The following is a 21,407-nucleotide window of genomic DNA, read 5'->3' on the forward strand; positions in this document are numbered from 1 at the left end:
TACATGTGCTAGATAAATTACATAAAGTGGTATGAAATAATTCTATCCCAAAACCTGCTGATGTCTGTTTAATGGTGCTACTGAGAAATAATCAGGTTCTATATTGACATGAAATAAAGGAATTCAGTTCAACTTGAATGCAATTGCATCAGTTTGTCTGCTGTCACTCCTTAGCACACAAAGAATGCAGAGGCAACTGACCAGACACGTAACTGCGTACCAGAGAGAGGGAAAAGCAGAATGAGGCACAAACAAATGCATTTCAGAGAATGCAGGTATGTTCCCAGTTGTTCTTTGAACATTATTAATGCTATCAAAACACGTTTTCAAAATGTTTTGAAGAAAATTAAAATCTCTTCCGAAATCAGGGAATCATGTCTGTGTTCCATGAAACTTGACCTTTGAGCAATTATGGAAAACAACAAGGAGTTTGTCAATATTAATAAGGATCTTGATATAGTTAATCTACAGTTAATTATTCAATCTAAAATAACAACGAACATGGAGAAAGGGAAGCAAAACTAACATTTGTTGAGGTCAGTTATGTACTAGGTATGGTCTAGCTTTCTTTCATGCAGAATTTGATATTAAAGAAAGCAGAGGCATTTTCAAAGCCATAACTGTCTAAGGAACATGAATATGTAAGGAAAATGGTAATATAGTGCCTGATACATAGGAAATATTTGATAAATTATAGCAAATATGGTTATTGTTGATGATGATGATGACATGCAAATACCTGGATAAGATAAACCCTCCTGGAGCACTGAGGTTGGGGTTCTTAGTAACCTGAACAAAGAGGCCAGGTACACAGTGGCTCTTGTATTCTAATTGAGGGGAATAAAATATCTGCACCATTGTCTTCTAAAGGCAAATATTAAAATGAATATTCTGAAGTTTATAGTACAGTGAATCAGAATCCTTAACCATAGAGCAAAAGTCATTCGTATTTTTCACAAGCTCCCTAGGAGGTTCTTGATGTCCATTAAAATGTGAAAATCTTGGTCTGGGGGAAGGGGATTGACACGATGGGAAGGAGAGGATGTCACTGTATTTCATTGACAGTTAACTTCCCTCTTTTTTTTTTTTGAATATAATTTTTGTTTTTATTTCAGATTCAAGGGGGTACATGTGCAGGTTTTTACCTGGGTATATTGTGTGATGCTGAGGTTGGGGCTTCTAATAATCTCGTTGCCCAAGTAGTGAATATAGTACCCAATAGGTAGCTTTTCAACCCTTGTTCCTGTCACTACCTCCCCACTTTTAAAATCTCCATTGTCTGTAGTTCCCATCTTTGTGTCCGTGAGTACCCAATATTTAGCTCCTACTTATAAATGTGAATATGCAGTATTTGGTTTCTGTTTCTGCATTAGTTTACTTAGGATAATAGTCTCCAGCTACATCAATGTTGCTGTGAAGGACATGATTTCATTCCTTTTTATGGCTTTGTAGTATTCCATGGTATATATGCACCACATTTTCTTTATCCAAGTGACCACTGCTGAGCACCTGGGTTGATTCCATATCTTTGCTATTGTGATAATGCTGCAATAAACATATGAGTGTAGGTGTCTTTTTGGTAGAATGATTTATATTCCTTTGGGTATATACCCAGTGATGGGATTGCTGGGTTACATGGCAATTCTGTTTTTAGTTCGCTGAGAAATCTCCAAAATGCTTTCCACAGTTGCTGAGCTGATTTGCATTCTCAACAGTTGTGTTGTGTTTCCTTTTCTCCCCAACCTTGCCAATGTGTTATTTTCTGACTTTTTAATAATAGCCATTTGGACTGGTGTGAGATGGTAATCTCATTGTGGTTTTGATTTGCATCTTCTGATGATTGGTAATTTTTGAGCACCTTAACTTTGAAAATCTTCTAAATTAATTTGACATCACCAGAAAATAATTTCAGAACAGTTTCAATCCAATATTATTGTTTAATCTTTCAAGTCTGACAAACATTTCTTTCCAATGAAAGCACAATCTCAATTTACTAAGCAACCATAACTATGAGGCAAACACACTATATTTTTAATGTGCGCCGTATCCTGGGGGTTAAAGATTATATGTCTCAATTTAACATATTTATTTACTTTCTTTTCCTTTCCTTTTTTCTTCCCTTTCTGCCTCTCTCCTTTTTCCATTCCCTCGCAGTCACTCTTTTTTTTTTTTTTTTTTTTTTTTAACCTTCCTTTCTGTTTTCCTCATGGTGCAGTGTTTCAGTGTGACCAGCAGAGGACACTATGCTGCAGCAAGTCTGGGCATCAACTATCTAAAAGATAAATTGCTGATTGAATTCAAAGAAGATAGATTAAAACAAGCTTGTAAATGTTGTTAAATACATGAATGCCTACTGCATTTTAATTATGGTGATTTACATGGACCTACCATGATCACGTACTTCATAAAACAAACTTTGCCTTAATAGCTGCACTTAACGATGTACTCTTTCCTTTATGAGAATTTAATTCTCTGAATATGATATGTTTTTAAAATAAGACAAACTCAAACCAGTTGCCAATAGATCCTCAGCTCCTCCTGAGGTCCTTGTTTTATGGGTCTGTTCTACTGTGTAATTGTTTAGTTTAACTTGGTAAACATGTCAGTTTTCCCAGGATAATTAGGTGGATAAACAAAATGTTCAAAAAGAAATGGAGCCAATTAGACTTTTTATCAAAGACATACACACAAAAAAGGCTTTACAAATGAGTGGACTTTTCCTTAGAGGTTTGATCTTAAATTAGAGTTCCTGGAATTTACAAGGGACCAAGGAGGCAGTTTTCCTAAATATAACGAAATCTTAATTATCTGGGGAGGAGAGCAAATGAAAGACACAAACTCTCACATGCTTTGAAATCATACTTGGGTGGGAAATGCAGAGAGGCATGAGTTCAGTAAGAGCATAATTTTATCCCCACCTGCTCACAGCCACTTTTAAACAGGTTGGGCAACTGGAAGAGAATGCCCTGTGACTTTGGGTAATTTTCTTAGAGCTAGCTCAAAGTAGACAGGTACCCAACATATTTTTAATACTATTAAATAGGTGGCAGTACCTGTTGTGGACAGTTGTGTGTTGTATAGATGGAGACTTCAACAATTGTTTGTTCTAAAATCAACAGTCCATTAATATATTGGGTGCTCTTTCTGTAGAGCTTAACGGTGTTTTAAGAACCATATCACTTTATTCTATTTCTTATTTTTGGTCATTGAAAATAGACTCTTATTTGGAGTGTAACATATGATCTGACTTCTCTATCCAGATTTTGTCTCATGTTTTCTGCTACTTCTCTATAAAGATAGTTTGGTCCTCAGGTGTTGGTTTATGTTGCTGTGATTCAAGACTTGGTTCTATTAGTACAGAATCCAGACATACGTTTGTTTCTCTTTGAAAAATTTCATAATGTAACCCAGTGAATAAAATATTTACCAATATTTTTTCTTTATCACTTCTTACCACAATTTTTCCTAATTATTATTCTTTTTTAATTCTGGAAAGCCACTCAAATAAAATATCTTCAGAATTAACAAAATAAGTTTCTAAATTTAAGGATTCCCACAACTACCTCCTGATTATATAGTAATATTATATAGATACTGCCACTTCTTCACACTTTAAGCTTGTGTACATTCTCTAAATTTCTGTATTTTTATGAGCTTCATTTGGGGTGGTAATAAAATATGATCCAGAAAAAAAGCCCTTTTATTCTGTAATTATAGTCTCTGTTTTTCTACATAGTTCTCTCAGGATTTCTTCACCTTGCTTCCAGGCTTGTCTGAATTTCTAACTGCTTTTTCTATTGGTTGTCTCAAAGTCTCAGTATAGTACTAAAGTGCTTTCTATTTGTTGCTATATCCATTACCACTGACAACCTCAGAAATCTTTGTCTCTTGGGTGCCATAGCAATAGGCTTGACACAGCTACCCAGTGTCTTGTGAGATTAATTCATCATGCATTTAGGACAGTAAACTGTTGTTTGACATGTAGGAATTAATAAGTGGGTAGTGTACAAAGCCTTTTGTTTTTATTTGTGGAGGGGACTTTAAAAGGGAAAAGCTAGGATCATAGTCTAGGCCATGTATAGAAAAGATTGCTTGACAGTAGTTACGGGGTAATGCCTGAGAGTCCTCATGTTTGAGACTGGTGTGTGCTAAGTGTAATGATGTAATCTGAAGAGAGGGTGGCCGCTTCTCTCAAAATGGTTTTATGCTAGTTTTACCTTTCTAGAGACCCACATCTACACTCAATATTGCAGCCCTTGAACCAGCAATCTAGGGACACATTTTCTAAAGAGTCCTTAAATAGTTTGATGTCTTTACAAGGATTTTTTAAAATTTTACTTTTTTTTTTGCTTGTCTTTAAAAAATGAAACAGCTGTATTTTGAATAGAAATTTGAGAATAGCAAGGTATCAATAAATAAATAAAAATCATCCTAAATAAAAAACCAAGGAAAACCCAAAACCCTATTCAAGTTTGAAGATGTAAAAAAAAATATATATATATATTTGGGTAGTTGGGTCGGCAGATGGGCAGAGACTTTGCTATAAAAATGTGATCATACTATAGTGCTATTTTAAAATAATGAGTTTACATTTAATTTTACTACAATTTAACAGAAGAAAGAAATGAAAGGAACTGAAGAAAATGCTACACTTCAGATAAAAGTTTCTTTACTATAAAAGGTACTATGCTATAAAGAATCTCAGATTTTTAAAAATACATTTAAAAAACCTACCTATGGGCTGGGTGGCATGGCTCACACCTGTAATCCAGCACTTTGGGAGGCTGAGGCAGGTGGATCATGAGGTCAAGAGATCGAGACCAGGCTGGCCAACATGGTGAAACTCCGTCTCTACTAAAAATACAAAAATTAGCTGGGCGTGGTGGTGTGTGCCACCTGTAGTACCAGCTACTTGGGAGGCTGAGGCAGGAGAATCACTTGAACCCTGGAGGAGGAGGTTGCAGTGAGCCTAGATCACGCCACTGTACTCCAGCCTGGTAACAGTGAGACTCCGTCTCAAAAAACAAAACAAAACAAAAAACAATAAACAAAACAAAACTACCTGTGAAAGAAACTCAAATCAATTGGAAATTTCTTCTAAACTCTGGGCTTGATGAATCGATCTCAACTTTTCCTTTTATCTCATGTTCTTGGAATGAATTCTTAACTAGATATGAGTTAATATGAGCCTCTCCTTTTGCAAGAAAAAGGGCTAGTTGCATCACCTAGGAAAAAGGAGACAGACCTTTCCAGCATTGTGAACAGGTACCCAGGTGTGAGTAACATTTCAGAGCCCATATCAGATAAGGGTAAACAGACTCTAATTCATTCTTCCCTCCCTGCATTGACTCTCAAAGTGGTAGACACTCAATAAGGGCTGAAATGGACTGAAGCCAGAGAGAGGTGATCTCTGGATTTTTCCTCCTATATTCCTTGTATTTGGCCTTTATCTGGCTTATGGTTGAATTCAGGAATGACACAAGAAGTTGTGGTTTTCCCCATTGGATAATGGTCAGAGTCATCCCGGTGACTTCTCCTAAGCTAAGGATAACTATGAGTTAAAGATAACAAAGAAGAATATGTTTTCATCCAAAGGCTTGTTGTCATCTGTGTAAAACCTCAGTGAGGGGGGCTAAGCAATTACCAGTAGTGAGAGGGCAGGGAAGAGAAGCACCTGGCTCCAATATTACCCAGGCAGCCCCTGAAATCTTACAGCCAACCACTTCTCAAGAAGTCTCTCAAAATAGAATCTACTAACAGAGAAGTCAGAAGTTACTCTATGGCCATAGCAACTGGGTTCAGAAATCAAAGAATAGCAGCCATGTTGCTACAGGATCTTGCACCCTTCCATGCTTGCTGGAGGTGGCAAGTGTGAACAATTTAGCATTTTTGTCATTAGGGTTTTTCTGAGGAATATATAATTTTTTATCAGAACAGGTGGGAAATCCTAAGTGAATTCACAACTTTTTGTTTGTTTTTTGTTTTCCAAATAAGACTATGAAATCCTCCAATTAAAAAAAAATTTCTGTTCAGCAAAAGGTTTATGAGACCAACCTCAGAAACCAAGCTTCCAAATCTGATGGCAACATTACTAAGTTTATTAAATTCATGGTTTCATTAATAGTGAATTGAGCTGTAAGCAAATGTCATGGGTGGAAAGATCAACAGCATGGTCTCTGTTATATTATATATATATATTATTATATATATATATAGTATATAGTATATATATATTTTATATATATATATAGTGTATATATATATATATAGTGCCTTAATTATATTATGTGGATAATTGCATAAGAACCATGTAATAATACTACTGAACAATGGGTACATTGTCCTTTCAAAATGAGGAAGTACACAGTTTACAATGTTGCCATCACAAGTTGAACTTATGGGGACATTAGGTCCTATGACTTTATCCAGAGAGTTGGATTCATCTCCTGCTAAATGGAAAAAAACTTCAAACTTTATTCCACATCTGTGCTATTCTCACCATATCCTCCTTTGCACGGGTATAACAGGAATCAGAGCTGAAATTTGGACAAAGTCAAAATCTCTATTCAATCTTTAAATACTTAACGAATATTGATTGAAGAACCAGATGATTCTCAAAGATAGTTCTCCCCAAGGATGAGAAATAAATGATCTCAACCTTGTAAATTTTAAGTTTTGTTAGGTGGGATTAGAACAGCCCTTAGCCTAGAGCTAATTTGTCTGCCTCTTGAGGTGATATCCTTCTGAATGCTCAATTTGATGTCCTGTGACTTATGAAGTTTCTCCACTTGGGCTGGTGGGAACCCAGTCTATACCTGTCCCCGTGTGATCTTCAAATATTGATCCCGGAGGGGCTTCTTTTGCTAGACTTGCATAGTTTCTCCTCAGTTGTGTGCTGATCAGAATTCAGCTGAAGGCTCAAAAGGGACCCTCTGCACACCCTTGTGTGTGGCTTTCTTTTGGGAATCTGCCTATGAACTCTAGCTGTCTTGGCCTCCCAGCTCTGTTTCCTCAGCTCTGGGACTCTACCAGTCTCCTCCTGGGTTTCTATTCCCCGAACTGTGGCCCAGAAACTCTCTCCAGGTAGAAAGCGGGGTCAATGACAGGGACTTCACTTCTTTTTTTTTTGTTTCCTGTCTCTTGGGTCACTGTCCTATGCTGCCTGATGTCCAATGTCTGGAAATCACAGTTTCATATATTACGTCCATATTTTTAGTTGTTTCATGGGAGGGGATAAATTTAGTCCCTCTTGCTCTGTCTTGTCTGGAAATAACCATGTCAATTTTAAATTAGAAAACATTCTTTATTGCTGTCTCTCTTAAAAATTGCCTATGACTCCAAACAAATATTATCTTTTACACTGGTGAGTTGGTTTACCATCTTCTGCTTTAGGGTAAGACGTTGTCAAGAGAGAGTGTCAAGTGTCAGAGAGAGTTGACAGGACTCCTTAATGGTACTACAGATGTCTCTAAAAAATTAGTTAGTTACAGGTTGATCACTATGATAAATAGCTCCAGTGTTGAGTTTCACTTCTATTTAAATAAAATAAAATTTAACTTTGAAGATTAAACTTATGGACTTCATTTTATAAGGTCTCTTCTCTCTCTCCTCTCTTTTAGAATAGCTGCATCTCTAGAGCACATAATGATTGCATATTCTCAGAGGTTACTTTTAGGATATGTAATCATTAGCAGATCTGTGAGTGTAAATGCAGGTCACTTTATTCTAGGCTTGTGTTTTGCCTTATCCAGTTTATTTTTATTTTTATGTTTTGCCTTATCCAGTTTTAATAACAGGTCCTGGATCATATACTACATATTTAGAAGAAATTAGAGTAGTATCTATACAGAGAGATGATGAGACAATCAAATTGAATAGGCTTTATGCTTTCTTTAACTTTCCTTTTGATTCCATTGAAAGCTCTTTTAAGATGTGTTAAACTTAAAACTTATTTGTGGCAAGTGAATATGGTATGTGTGTCCGTGTATGTACAATGTGTTGAAAATGAAAACATGACTGGCACAGATGACATGAGTGGGAACACTGCAAATTTGGTGAAGTCCTAAGAATTTTAGAAGAAAAAGACTTCTCACAAACAAGGCATACAACTATACAAAGTAAGGATGTGTGTTAGTTTCTAGAAAAGTTATAAGAAAATGGGAGAAATGTCATATTATTGCTACATCTTTCACATAAAGAGACTTTCAATGACCTTTTTTTAAAATTGATTTTTTATTGTATAAACTTAAGGCATACAACTTTAAGCCTTTTAAGCAAAGCTTAAACACACTGTCATTTTGGGAAACAGAAAATACAAATATGAAGAAACAGTAGGTAAAAAAATACTTTGGGATGATGTTAGGAGTCAGGGGACCAGATACAGTGGCTCAATATCTTAAAAAGTCACTTACCTTGTGGTAATCCTGCTATAATCTCACTAGAAATTTGGCAAAGTATCTCTTCATAAGCATTTGTTTTTAATTTAATAGGTCTCCAAACTACTCAGGATAATCAGATCATATTTTGGTTAACCTCGATGTTAACCATGATAAAGCCATTTGGTGCTCATTTTTTATCTAAAAGATGGAATGATTTTTTTTGACTGCCTCTCCTCTTTACAAGTCAATACATTATTTCTTTCTTCTTACAGTTAATCTGAAATTTATTCTGTTTTATAAACCTATGCCAAATAACCCCACTAATAGTAATGTGTTAATTTTTTTCTAATTATTACAGTATTTATAGCTAATGTTATCCAATTATATATATTGGACTGGATACTGCCTTGCTTATGTATGATACTTAAGTTTTGTCAAGTCATTTACAAGGTTCTTGAATACAGAGTCCCTATAGTTTTCTTCTATATATTTTTCTTCTTTCTATTAGCCCACTACTAAGTTGAGAGTAGATGCTTGATAATTTGTTGTCTTGAAATCAATTCTAAGAATTTAAAACTAGATATAAACCCCTTCCCCCTCCACTATTACCAGCTTAATCCCATCAACAGTTCAGAAAAATAAGACAGGAAATAATTGCTTGTGAAGGGCCACACAAGAAGTTAGGTATAAAACTACAATTGGACCTCAGACTTTCAAACCCATAATTCTGAACTCAAAACAAAAGGCCACACAGCCTCCATCTATATAATTAGATTTAGAAAGCACTCAGGAAAGCAAAGCTGCTCTTGTCCTGAAGGAAAGTTTGTGACTGTGTATTCTTTGCAGAAAGTAAGGACTATGGATCTCATTAAAATGTCCCCAACCTCAGGATACTATCAGTATAAACATTCTTGAAGGGGAACATATATTCTGGGTCTGGGAGACAAATCCCATCTGGTCTACCTTGGATGGAAGGCTCCCCTACTCTGTAGTGGTTGGTTGTTTTGTTGTGTGTGGACAGCTGAGAGTCATTTCCTCATCTTTATTCCAAACGAAGCTGGACACTCCCTTTTCATTTTTGAAAAGTAATCTGTGTGAGAAGGCAGCCAGCATGTTTACCCACTGGGCTTGGAGCCAGACTTCTTTCCCTGGTTCTTCCTCTCTCTGTTTCTCAATCTCCCCTGCTCTAAGATGGCCAGATATGAAAAGCTGCCAATCGGGATGCCAGAACATCAAAGAGATCGCTCATGAGAGCACACAAAGTCCCATTTGTTCAGCACTTGGACGGAGATGCCAGCAGCTTCCAGGCAGAGGGAGAATCGAAGGTTTGTCTTCACTTGACTTCTCGCTCACACCATCTGGCTGATGGAGAATCCTTTCATTTCTTCCCGTGGCTGGACCAAAGGGAGAATGACTGTGAATAGAAGTGCCTTTTCAACCTTCACTTGTATCCATTTTTAAAAGGACAAATAAGGTCATCTCTGCTTCTGAAATTAATTGTTAAGATTTCTTTAAAAAATTCTTTTTGCTATTAATAACCTTGATATATTGGATTCTAGATTTAAGGGATAAACATGGTATTGGTATCTGGTAATATGGAGTGGTCTGATTTTTATGTGTCATAAAAGTATTTTATCAGTGTCCCTCCCAACCATAAATTCTCTTTCAGGTATTTCACATGAAGCGTAGAATTCTAGTTAGAATCCTTGAGATTCTACTCTTACTGCTCCTTCTTTGGCAAAAGCTTACTTTCAGTATTGAACAGTGCTGGGAGTATAGTGTTAAGTGGTTGGCAGTTATTTTATACTGGGTGAATATGTTTTAGATTTGTTTCAAATTACAGATTTTGAGGACAGATATGGTGGGGTTGGAAAACGTAAGGATATTTGTAGGTGAGAAGGAAATCCATCTAAAGACATAAAAAGTACTGGATTGGAAGACTCCTAAGCAGGGCCAGGATTAAGTGAGGCTGTCAGCCTGTGTGTGTGTGTGTGTGTGTGTGTGTGTGTGTGTGTGTGTCTGATAGTAGTGGTAAAAGCACTTAACCTGAGATCTACCCTCTTAATTTTTAAGTGTATGATACAATATTGTTAATCATAGGCACAACGTTGGACGGCATATCTCTAGAAGTTTTCATCTTGCGTAACTGAAACTTTGTATCTGTTGAACAACAACTCTTCTTTCCCCTAATCCTCAGCCCCTGACAGCCACCATTCTACTCTCAGCCTCTATGAGTTTGGCTGTTTCAGATACCTCATATAAATGGAATCATGCAGTATTTGTCCTTCTGTGGCTGCTTTATTTCTCCTGGCATAATGTCGTAGGGCATAGTATTTAAGGAGGCATTTGTTCTCAGCCTCATGTAAGTGCAGGCTGAGCATCTGAGTTTGAGTGCCTGGATACATTTTGCACCTTGAGAGACAGTTTTGCCTCATCCTAGTATCAGGACCTGCTTCTAAGACAAATAGCCACTTTCCACAACTTTCACCAAAACTATTTTCTGGTTCCACAGAAGCAACTATGGGTGGGGCAATGTATGCTGGATGAGGGTGAGAAGAAATTTCATAAGTTATGTGATTTTAGGTGACTCGGACTACTTCCCTGAGCATAATTTTCACCCTGGAAACAGAACTAATATTTATTATCTATTTTATCCAACGAGAACTGGGATGGGTCTGAGATTTCGCCCTAATAATTGGTGCTAAGCTAAGAAATTAGCCTCTCACAGTTCTATGGATGCTGAAGGAAGACACGCAACTCCTGGGTCAGAAACACGAGGCTGTGTTACTCATAGCAGCCACAGTTGCTAAGTAGCAGCATTTATAGTGTTCCCTTGAACTCCAGTTCCCACAGGGCGACATGAAGAGGGCCAGATACAAGCAGTGAATTGCATTACATGAGATGAACCCAAAATCTAGGAACCAAAGTGTTTTATAATGGGCAAATCAGAAGGCCTGGCCTTGCTCTGCAGAGGGATATTATTTTTTGTAGACTGAACAGTAAGCATGCTTATTCCTTGCTCTGGGGGGATTCCTAGCATATTTGCCCCCAGAAATTTCTTTCTTTCCTTTCTTCTCTCCTCTCCTCTCCTCTCCTTTCCTTTCTTTCCATTTTTGAGACGGAGTTTCACTCTTGTTGCCCAGGATGGAGTGCAGTGGCGCAATTTTGGCTCACTGCAACCTCCGCCTCCTGGGTTCAAGCACTTCTCCTGCCTCACCCTCCCAGGTAGCTGGGATTATAGGCGCCCGCCACCACGCCTGGCTAATTTTTTTGTATTTTTAGTAGAGATGGGGTTTCACTATGTTGGCCAGGCTGGTCTTGGACTCCTGACCTCAGGTGATCCACCTGCCTCGGCCTCCCAAAGTGCTGGGATTACAGGCATGAGCCACTGCGCTCGGCCGAAAATTCTTTTATATGAGAGAAAAACAAACCCTATCTTGTTTAGACTCTGTTACGTTGGGATGTTTTATTTGTACACAAACTGAATCCTAACAAATACAGAATTTGGCATCTGGAGGTGGGGTGCAATAACAGAACTCAACAACATGTGGGCTGGCCTAGCCGTGTGGAGGCATTTAGGTAGTGGGTACTCAGATAACAAAGGCTGGACAACAAATAACTCTTAATATGGCATAGGAAAATATCTGGTCACATGCTCACGTTTTATCCTTTGGAAGTCAAACCGCATGTGAATTAGAGTGAAAGCAAAAGGGAGGGAAATGGTAGGAAAACATCAGAATGTTGGTGGGTGTTGTGTACCTTTTGCCATTTTTAGCAAAGTCCTGAAGGAGTGAGAGAGGAGCTCGGACTACAGTACGCCAGACAGGAAACACATCGTTTTTTACAGAGGCTGTCTCTGAGAGTATCCTGTGGCATAAATTGCTTGTGTGTCCTGTAATTTGAGGTGCTGAAATTTTGAAAAAGCCTTATTTTCCCGTAGCTCAAATCAGAGCACTTATAGGTGATGGAAACTAAGTAGCCCTCCTTAGTAGGAGGTAATACAGTGCCAGCAAGAGCTTCTAGCAAGAGCTATAGCAAGCAAGCTTATAGCAAGAGCTCTCTGCAGACAATGGGAACTAGATTGAAAGTATTAGCTTAGGGTTCTTATTTTCCCATCCAAGCCTGTTTTATCAAATAGTGTCTTAGTGGCTCCCGCTCATTTGAGAGAGAGGGCAATAGATAATGAAGAGAAGACAGCAAATAAAAATGAGAGTTGCCAGGCTGAAAAACTTAGTACACACAAGATCTTGGTTATTTGTATGTGGAACTGACTGGAAACAAATAGAAGCCTACTAAGATTTGAAGAATAACATTGGCAAAGAGACCCCAAACTTGATCTACAGTGCCCTGTGACAATTAAACCTTTTGAGTGGGCTTTGGGTCCCAGTTGGAAGGCAGCTGTGAAAGCTGTGCTTGTCCCCAGTAGGCCATTCACTCCAGAACCTAGTTCACTATGTCCATAGCTGATAGTGGACATAGAGAAGTCCCCCAGGAGAAAAGGCCAAAGGGTTACAGAAAATGGCTAAGAATGCTTTCCCAGAAGGCAGAACCAGAGGCTACAAGAAGGGTAAACCAAGGAACCAACCTCACTGCTAGGGCTGGGCATCTTTCAACTCTACCCAGATGGATTTTATAATTGCTTCAGCCAGTGAGTGTGCTGTGTTGGTCATCCTTCTCATTTCCATCTGGGAGGCTTTATTACTGTTTTGCTGTTCCTTTTCTGCCACAGTGTAGCAAGTTTGCCTCAGGCAGGATTTTCTCAGTAATCAGATCACCGGGTTATGACAGCCAACATTTTGACCTGACGGAGAGAACTGTACATCACCCAGAGATCCTGGACTTTGAGCTAGATGCAGTAACTGGGGGTGACTTTGGTTCATCTCTGCTGGAGAGGAAGCGTGTTCTTTTTGTAGGAGAGGAATGCACATGGAAGGAGTTGAATAACCCAAAGCGCAGGCTATCACAAAGACCACTGATTATCTCAAGAAATCCATTGTTCTTCTCCTTCTCCAACATAAAACTGCAAATTCACTTTAAGGGCCTATTGACTCAGCTAAATGATTATATTTCCCAGCGTCCCTTGCATCCTTGTGCAGCTATGTCACAAAGTCTGACAAATAAGCGGTAAGAGGCAGTATTGTATTATACTTTTTAAAAGGAAAGATTCAGATTCTTCCTTTTTTTCTCGTCAATCCTGCTTACTGGAACATGGGTGTAATGGCTGACACTCTAGTTGCTATTTTGGATGGTGGAGATGAGGCTCCTCACTGTAGGGATATTGGAATGAAAAATTGCACAAGGCAAAACACTGATGAATTTGGCCAGGTGCGGTGGCTCACGCCTGCAATCTCAGCACTTTGGGAGGCCGAGGCGGGCAGATCACGAGGTCAGGAGATCGAGACCATCCTGGCTAACACAGTGAAACCCCGTCTCTACTAAAAATACAAAATATTAGCCAGGCATGGTGGCGGGTGCCTGCAGTCCCACCTACTCGGGAGGCTGAGGCAGGAGAATGGTGTGAACCCTGGAGGCGGAGCTTGCAGTGAGTGGGGATCACACCATTGCACTCCAGCCTGGGCAACAGCGCTAGACTCCGTCTCAAAAAATAAAAAAATAAAAATAAAACAAAAACACTGATGAATTTGTGGATCTGCTAAGTCAGCATTGGACTGCTAGCCTTCATATTTTCTTTATAGGACAGAATAATGCCTTTTGTGTTTAAGCCTTTGTTAAGTTGGCTTTTCTTTCATATGCTGCTGAAACTAATTTTGACAAAGTAAAACTATACAAATATGAGGATATTCTTAACATTGTGAGTCAGGAAATTTGTCAGAAAGAGTGGATGCATCAGTCTTTCTAACAGAAACAAAGTAAAAATTATTCATTAAAAGTCACCTTGACAATGGGTTTAAAGAGTAGTTTTTTTCTGGTATGAATGCCTCCATAGCCTGGACCATTTCTAAGATTCTAAAATCTTAAGTCCATAAGGGCATAGTACCTTGTCATACTCACTGGGACCTATAAGATATTAATAATTGATACATCAGGGATCTTGCTGAAGGGACAGTAGTAGGCTCAATTATTTGTACCATATGACGCTACCTATTGCAACACAACTAATTAGACCAAAGGTGGGAAACTAACCAGTGCAGTCAATGCATAGACTAACGGTTAGTGGCCTATGATTGACATGTTCCGGTATGAAAAGAAGATCTAGGTCAATCAGCATCTCTATATCACCAGTTTGAAGTAGAACATCCAGATGGATATCAGTTAGCAGTGGAAGCTAAAGCTAAAGTCAGCAGAAATGGTCAGAGTCAGACTATGATGACCATATATAAGACAAAAGTAGAGGATGGCAGAAACCATAAATGAACAGAAGCGTAGGTGAGTAAAAGACATAGGGTAGAAAATGAGGATGCTGCTGAAAGTAGTATGAGAAGAGAGGAGGAACACACAAAAAGTAGAGATGGAGAGGAAAACTAAGTCTTGTTATTGACAGAGATATTTGAATTTTGTTGCTGAGTTTCCTGCAGCTGTTGAGCAACCATTTTTGTTTCTATATGGCAAGGTAAGACTGAGTTATTGGGTTTTCCGCTTCCTTTATCTTTTGCGCAACTCTTCCTCCGATATATACTTATAATAACACATTACCCATTGCTGGAAACATGTTTTTCTATCACTAGCAACAAACCTACCTAATTTTAAATTACTTGAATCCTATTTAACTTGTAAAAAGGACTGAATTGAGGCGATTTATCATATTAAACCCAGTGTCATGCAACACACTTAAAATAAGGTTAAGTGGGAGAGAAAGATAGTTATAGCAAGAAACTAAAACGAGATACAATTTTTTATAATTTCAACTTTTATTTTAGATTCAAGATGTACATGTGCAGGTTTGTTACATAGGCATATTGCATGATGCTAATGTTTGGGGTGTGTTGGATCCCATCACCCAGGTAGTGAGCATAGTACCCAATAGTTTTTCAACCTATGCTCCCCTCCTGCCCTCCTCTAGTAGTTTCCAGTGTCTGTTATTGCCGTCTTTATGTCTATGGGTACCCAATGGTTGGTTCCCACTCTAAGTGAGAACATACAGTATTTGGTTTTCTGTTCCTGCATTAATTCACTTAGGATAATGGCCTCCAGCTGCATTCATGTTGCTGTGAAGGATGTGATTTTACTCTTTGTTATGGCTGCTTAGTATTCCATGGCATATATGTACCACTTTTTTTAATCCAATCCACCATTGATGGGCACCTGGATTGATTCCATATCTTTGCTATTGTGAATAGCTCTGTGATGAACATGAGTGTCTTTTTCATAGAACAACTTATTTTCTTTTGGATATTGTATGAGTCCATTCTCATGCTGCTAATAAAGACATACCCAAGACTGGGTAATTTAAAAAGGAAAGAGGTTTAATTGACTCACAGTTCAGCGTGGCTGAGGAGGCCTTAGGACACTTACAGTCATGGCAGAAAGGGAAGCAAACGCGTCCTTCTTCACATGATAGCAGGAAGGAGAAATATGAGAACCTAGCGAAGAGGGAAGCCCCATATAGAACCATCAGATTGCGTGAGAACTTACTATCTTGAGAATAGCATAGGGGAAACTGCCCCCATGATTCAGTTACCTCCCACTTGGTCCCTCCTGTGACACATGGGGATTATGGAGACTACAATTCAAGATGAGATTTGGGTGGGGACACAGCCAAACCATATCAGATATATACCCAGTAATGGGAATGCTAGGTCAATGGCAGTTCTGTTTTAATTTCTTTGAGAAATCCCAAAACTGCCTTCCATGGTGGTTGAACTAATTTTCATTCCCACCAACAGTGTGTAAGTGTTCCCTTTTTCCCTCTGCAGCCTTGCCAGCATTTGTTATTTGTTATTTGCCAGCATTTGTTACTTGTTATTATTCTGTTATTTTCTGACTTTTTGATAATAGCCATTCTGATTGGTGTAGATGGTATCTCACTGTGGTTTTGATTTGCATTTTCCTGATAATTAGTGATGTGGAGCATTTATTCACGTGTTTGTTGGCTGCTTGTATGCCTTCTTTTGAGAAGTGTCTGTTCATGTCTTTTGCCCACTTTTTAATAGGTTTATTTGTTTTTTGTTTGTTCAATTGTTTAAGTTCCTTATAGATTCTGGATATTAGACTTTTGTGAGAGTTTGTAAATATTTTCTCCCATTGTGTAGGTTGTCTGTTTATTTTATTGAGTTTCTTTTGCTGCGCAGAAGCTCTTTAGTTTTTAATTAGGTCTCACTTTTCAGTTTTTGTTTTTGTTGCAATTGCTTTTGAGAACTTAGTCATAAATCCTTTCTTAAGGTCGATGTCCAGAATGGTGTTTCCTAGGTTTTCTTCTAGGATTCTTAGAGTTTGAAGTCTTACATTTAAATCTTTAATCCATCTTGAGTAAATTTTTGTACATGGTGAAAGGCAGAGGTCCAGTTTTATTCTTCAGCATATGGCTAGCAGTCTATCCCAGCACCATTTATGGAATAGTTCTTTCCCCATTGCTTATTTTTGTTGACTTTGTTGAATTTCAGGTGCCTGTTGGTGTGCATCCTTGTTTCTGCGTTCTTTGTTCTGTTGCTTTGGTCTATGTGTCTTGTTTTTGTACCAGTACCATGCTGTTTTGGTTACTGTGGCCTGATAGCATAGTATGAAGTTGGATAATGTGATGCCTCCAGCTTTGTTCTTTTTGCTTAGGATGGCTTAGGCTATTTGGGCTCTTTTTTGGTTCTATATGAATTTTAAAATAGTTTTTTTCTAATTCCTTGAAAAATAATGTTGATAGTTTGATAGAGTAGCATTGAATCTGTAGATTGCTTTGGGTGGTATGGCATAGGGGAAACTGCCCCCATGATTCAATTACCTCCCACTTGGTCCCTCCTGTGACACATGGGGATTATGGCCATTTTACTGATATTGAGTCTTCCAATCCATGAGCATAGCATGTTTTTCCATTTATTTATGTCATCTGTTATTTCTTTCAGTAGTGCTTTTGCAGTTCTCTTCGTAGAGATCTTTTACCTTCTTTGTTAGGTGTATTCCTAGGTAGTTTCATTTTTTTTGTGTGGCATTGTAAATGGGATTGCATTCTTGTTTTGGCTCTCAGCTTGAACGTTATTGGTGTGTAGAAATTCTACTGATTTTTGTACATCTTGAAATATTACTGAAGTAGTTTATCAGTTCCAGGAGCTGTTTGGGTTGATCTTTAGGGTTCTGTAGGTATAGAATAATATTACCTGTGAAGAGAGGTAGTTTGACTTCTTCTTTTCCTATGTGGATGCCTTTTATTTGTTTCTCTTGCCTGATTGCTCTGGCTAGAACTTCCAGTATTGTGTTGAATAGGAGTAGTGAGAGTGGTCATCCCTGTCTTGTCCCAGTTCTCAAGAGGAATTTTTGAAGCTTTTGTCTGTTCAGTATGATATTGGCTGTGGGTTTGTCATAGATGGGTTTTATCATTATTTGGAGGCATGTTCCTTTGATGCTTACTTTGTTGAAGGGAGATAAAAACCTTAATCATGAAAATAATAGTCCTTATTGAGCAGTTTCAGGCTGGTGGTAAGCATTTTATGTGCATTATTTAATTATTATTGTCATTATGATGATCACATTTAGAGCAGCCTTATCATGTAGCTGTCTTTCTTACCCCCACTTCACAGATAAAAACATTGAGGTTAAAAGGGTTAAGTACTTGCCGTTTCTATCAAATGGCAGATCTGGAGATTTGTGCTTGTTTGACCTTGAATCTACATTCTTAAGCACTATGTGTTAGTGACTGTATTTACCTTGAAGCTTTCCAGTCACACTCCCCACTGATAAGTAGCTCCAAGCTGTGGCAAAGTATAAATAGTTAGCATCTGCAGGGCTGCTGTTGATGAAGCTGGCAGCCCATGAGCCCTGTCACTTGGGACTCCAGGAAATGTCTTGGGTCTGCACTTAGGAGGCCAATTCTTAGGAAATTTTGCAAGAGACAAGTGGCCTCTTCAAAGACATAGTGAGAAAATTCTCATTCCACACTCCCTTGACACCTAGGAACTTAAGGTGGAATTGAAACCATTGTGAACCTGAGAGTCTAGTTCTAGTTACCAACATGAACTCTGGGGCCCAGGCTATGCCACTAAGTATGACCATGACTTTAGGCAAGTTGCTTAAGCTGTCTGCCCCTGTTTCCTCATCTATAAAATCCTTCAAATAGGATTTAATTATATTTTATAAGACCTGTAAGTTTTAAATAATTTAATACAAGTAAAGCCCTTGAAAGAGTTCATGGCAGATAGAAGAGCCTGATAAATGAGGGTTGTTATAATTACAGTTCTTTTCTTTTTCGTTATGTCCAGTTGACAGGTCTAGTGGACAGAAGACCTCATCGAGTGCTGATAGAGCTATAATGTGGGTGCCTGGGAGCGTCAGGCCTCATTTTTACTCCTTCAGACCTGAATGATTGAATCTATTAATAAAGCTAGACCTATCTTACCCTAGCTCAAGTTCTTTGCCACAATCTTAATAACAACAGCTCAACTAACATCTCCTAAATGTTTAATAGGAGATGTTATGTAATTTTATGGAGATGTTATATAATAGGAGAACTTATATAAATGCCAAGCACTTTAGTAAACACTTTTGTATAAATCATAACCTTTACAACAACCTGATAAGGTAGATGCTATGGGTATGCCCACTTCACAGGTAAGAAAAAATTATAACTGTTTTAAAGTGATAGCATTGAAAATAAAAGGCATTTACTCAATTAAATTGTGTCTGAGTTTCTGTGAAATCACCCAAGGAAGTTCTACTCTTTTTCTTTTCTTTCATTTCCCCTTTCCCTTTCTCTCCTCTCCTTTCTCTTCTCCCCCACTCCTCTCCCTTTCCCTCCCCTTTCCTTTCTTTTTCATTCCATTTCATTCCATACCACTCTATTCATCAGCTGAGAAGAGAACTGACAGTACAGATTGGTGTCACAAGCATATCACAGAATGAAGAGCTGAATGAAAGTACGTGCATTGGCACACAAGACCTAATTAGCTTGGAAGCATTGGTGTTTACTGAAAGTATGATAGGTTAACACATTTCCTTCCTCCTTATACTGTTTGCCTCACTTGGGCCTTCATCATACCACTCAACCACAAAAGTCAACTCAGCTTGAGAAGTAGGAAGATTCCTAGAAGTGAATGTGAGCAAACCATGCAATGCACCCTGTATTTCCTCTTATTCACACCTTACTAGAGATGAATAAACCTGGTCCCCATCCTTCCAGTACACCTCTTTTTTCATTGAAGATCATTATTGCTTCATTCCATAGATGTTATATAAGCAGAAATTTATAAAATGTAATTTTTTGTTACATGACTAAGCTTTTGTACACTCTCAAAATGAACTGCTTTTTGACTTGTTTGTGATATGTTTTTCTTAAACTTTTTACTATAAAATTGTTCAAACACAAATATTTGAAAAAATACTAAAATAGTTACCTGCATCTACCTAGGTTTCATACATCTACAAACGTATATATTCACTTTTTTTTTTGCTTTTCCATGTGAAGATAAGTAGACATTGTGAAATTTACACCAAAATATGTCAACATAGATCTCCCCAAAGTGATCGTAATTTATTACAAAAACATAGTACCCTTACACACCTATGAAAATCTAGTGTCAGGTTCAATTCAAATTTTCACAGTTATCACCAAAAGGCTTTTTACTATTTTGCTAAAAAGAAAAACAACAACAATGTCCAATCTAGGTTTATGCATTGCAATTAATTATGTATTTTTAGGTTCTTTTAATTTACAATTTCCTATAAAATATTTTAAAGTTATCTACAGACAGCTTAACTTTTTTGATGTATAGTTCTGTGACTTTTAACATATGTTGATCCATATAATCATCGCTACAGTCAGGACACAGTTTTATCACCTCAAAACATTTCTTCAAAAGTCCCTTTTGAAGTCAATTCCTCCTTTTGTCCATAAACTCTGGTACCTATTGATTCTGATAACACTATGACCTGTAGGTGACTGTATCGTACTGTTTGGTTTTTACAGAACATCTTATAAATGGAATCATACAGTATGTAATCTTTTGAAATTCACTTCTTTCACTTATATAATGCATTTGCGCTTTATTCATGTTTTTGTATGTATCAATAGTTCATTGCTTTTTTATATTCCATTATATAGATAGACTGCAATTTGAAATTATTTATTTTAGTTAACATATGATAATTGTACATATTTATGGGGTACATAGTGATGTTTTGATACATACAATGGGTAGTGATGAGATCAAGGTAATTAGCATATTGTTATCTCAAACATTTATCATTTTTCTGTGTTGGGAACATTCAGTATCCTTTCTTCTAGCTATTTGAAAATATATAGTGTTATTAACTATAGTCATCCTACAGTGCTATAAAACACTAGAACTTGTTCCTCCTATTTAGCTGAAATTTTGTGTCCTTTAACAAATCTCTTCCTGTCCCCATTCTCCCTACACTTTCCAGCCTCTAATAACTTCTACTGAGCTTTTTACTTCTATGAGATAAACTTTTTTTAGTTTCCACATACGAGTGAGAACATGTGGTGTTTAACTTTATGTTCCTGGCTTATTTCAGTTAACATAGAGTTCTAAAGTTCCATCTGTGTTGCCATGAATGAGAGGATTTTACTCTTTTTTATGGCCCAATAGCATTCCATCCACAATTTTTAAAAATTCATGTATTCATTGAAAAACATTTGGGTTGTTTCCAGTTTCTAGTGATTATGAATAATTCTACTATAAACATTTATACATAAGTCTTTGTGTGAACATAACTTTTCATTTCTTCAGGGTAAATACCTAGATGTGGCTTGCTAGGTCATGTGGTAAATGTATGTTTAATTTTTCAAGCAACTTTCAAACAATTTGCCAAACAATTTTGCCTTTTCACCAGCAATATATGAGAGTTCCAGTTACTCAGTACTTGGCTTCAATTTGCACTTCCTTCATAACTAATAATGTTGAATATCTT

General features: G+C 37.5%; 2 long non-coding RNA genes across 4 annotated transcripts in view; one reads left to right on the forward strand and one right to left on the reverse strand.

The window, feature by feature from the left end:
- Nucleotides 1-9,642: 9,642 nt before the first annotated feature.
- The window catches only part of LOC105375170 (uncharacterized), a 31,345-nt gene continuing 19,580 nt past the window's right edge, over nt 9,643-21,407 (forward strand). For all 3 annotated transcript variants that reach the window (XR_007060237.1, XR_927067.3, XR_007060238.1), the window contains exon 1: nt 9,643-9,852. This is a non-coding gene — a long non-coding RNA (uncharacterized LOC105375170). The remainder of the gene's footprint in view (nt 9,853-21,407) is intronic.
- Nucleotides 9,692-21,407, reverse strand: part of LOC124901595 (uncharacterized) — a 60,261-nt gene continuing 48,545 nt past the window's right edge. The window contains exon 4 of the long non-coding RNA XR_007060239.1: nt 9,692-9,772. This is a non-coding gene — a long non-coding RNA (uncharacterized LOC124901595). The remainder of the gene's footprint in view (nt 9,773-21,407) is intronic.

Source organism: Homo sapiens, chromosome 7 (genome assembly GCF_000001405.40).
Source record: "Homo sapiens chromosome 7, GRCh38.p14 Primary Assembly".
NCBI lineage: Eukaryota > Metazoa > Chordata > Mammalia > Primates > Hominidae > Homo > Homo sapiens.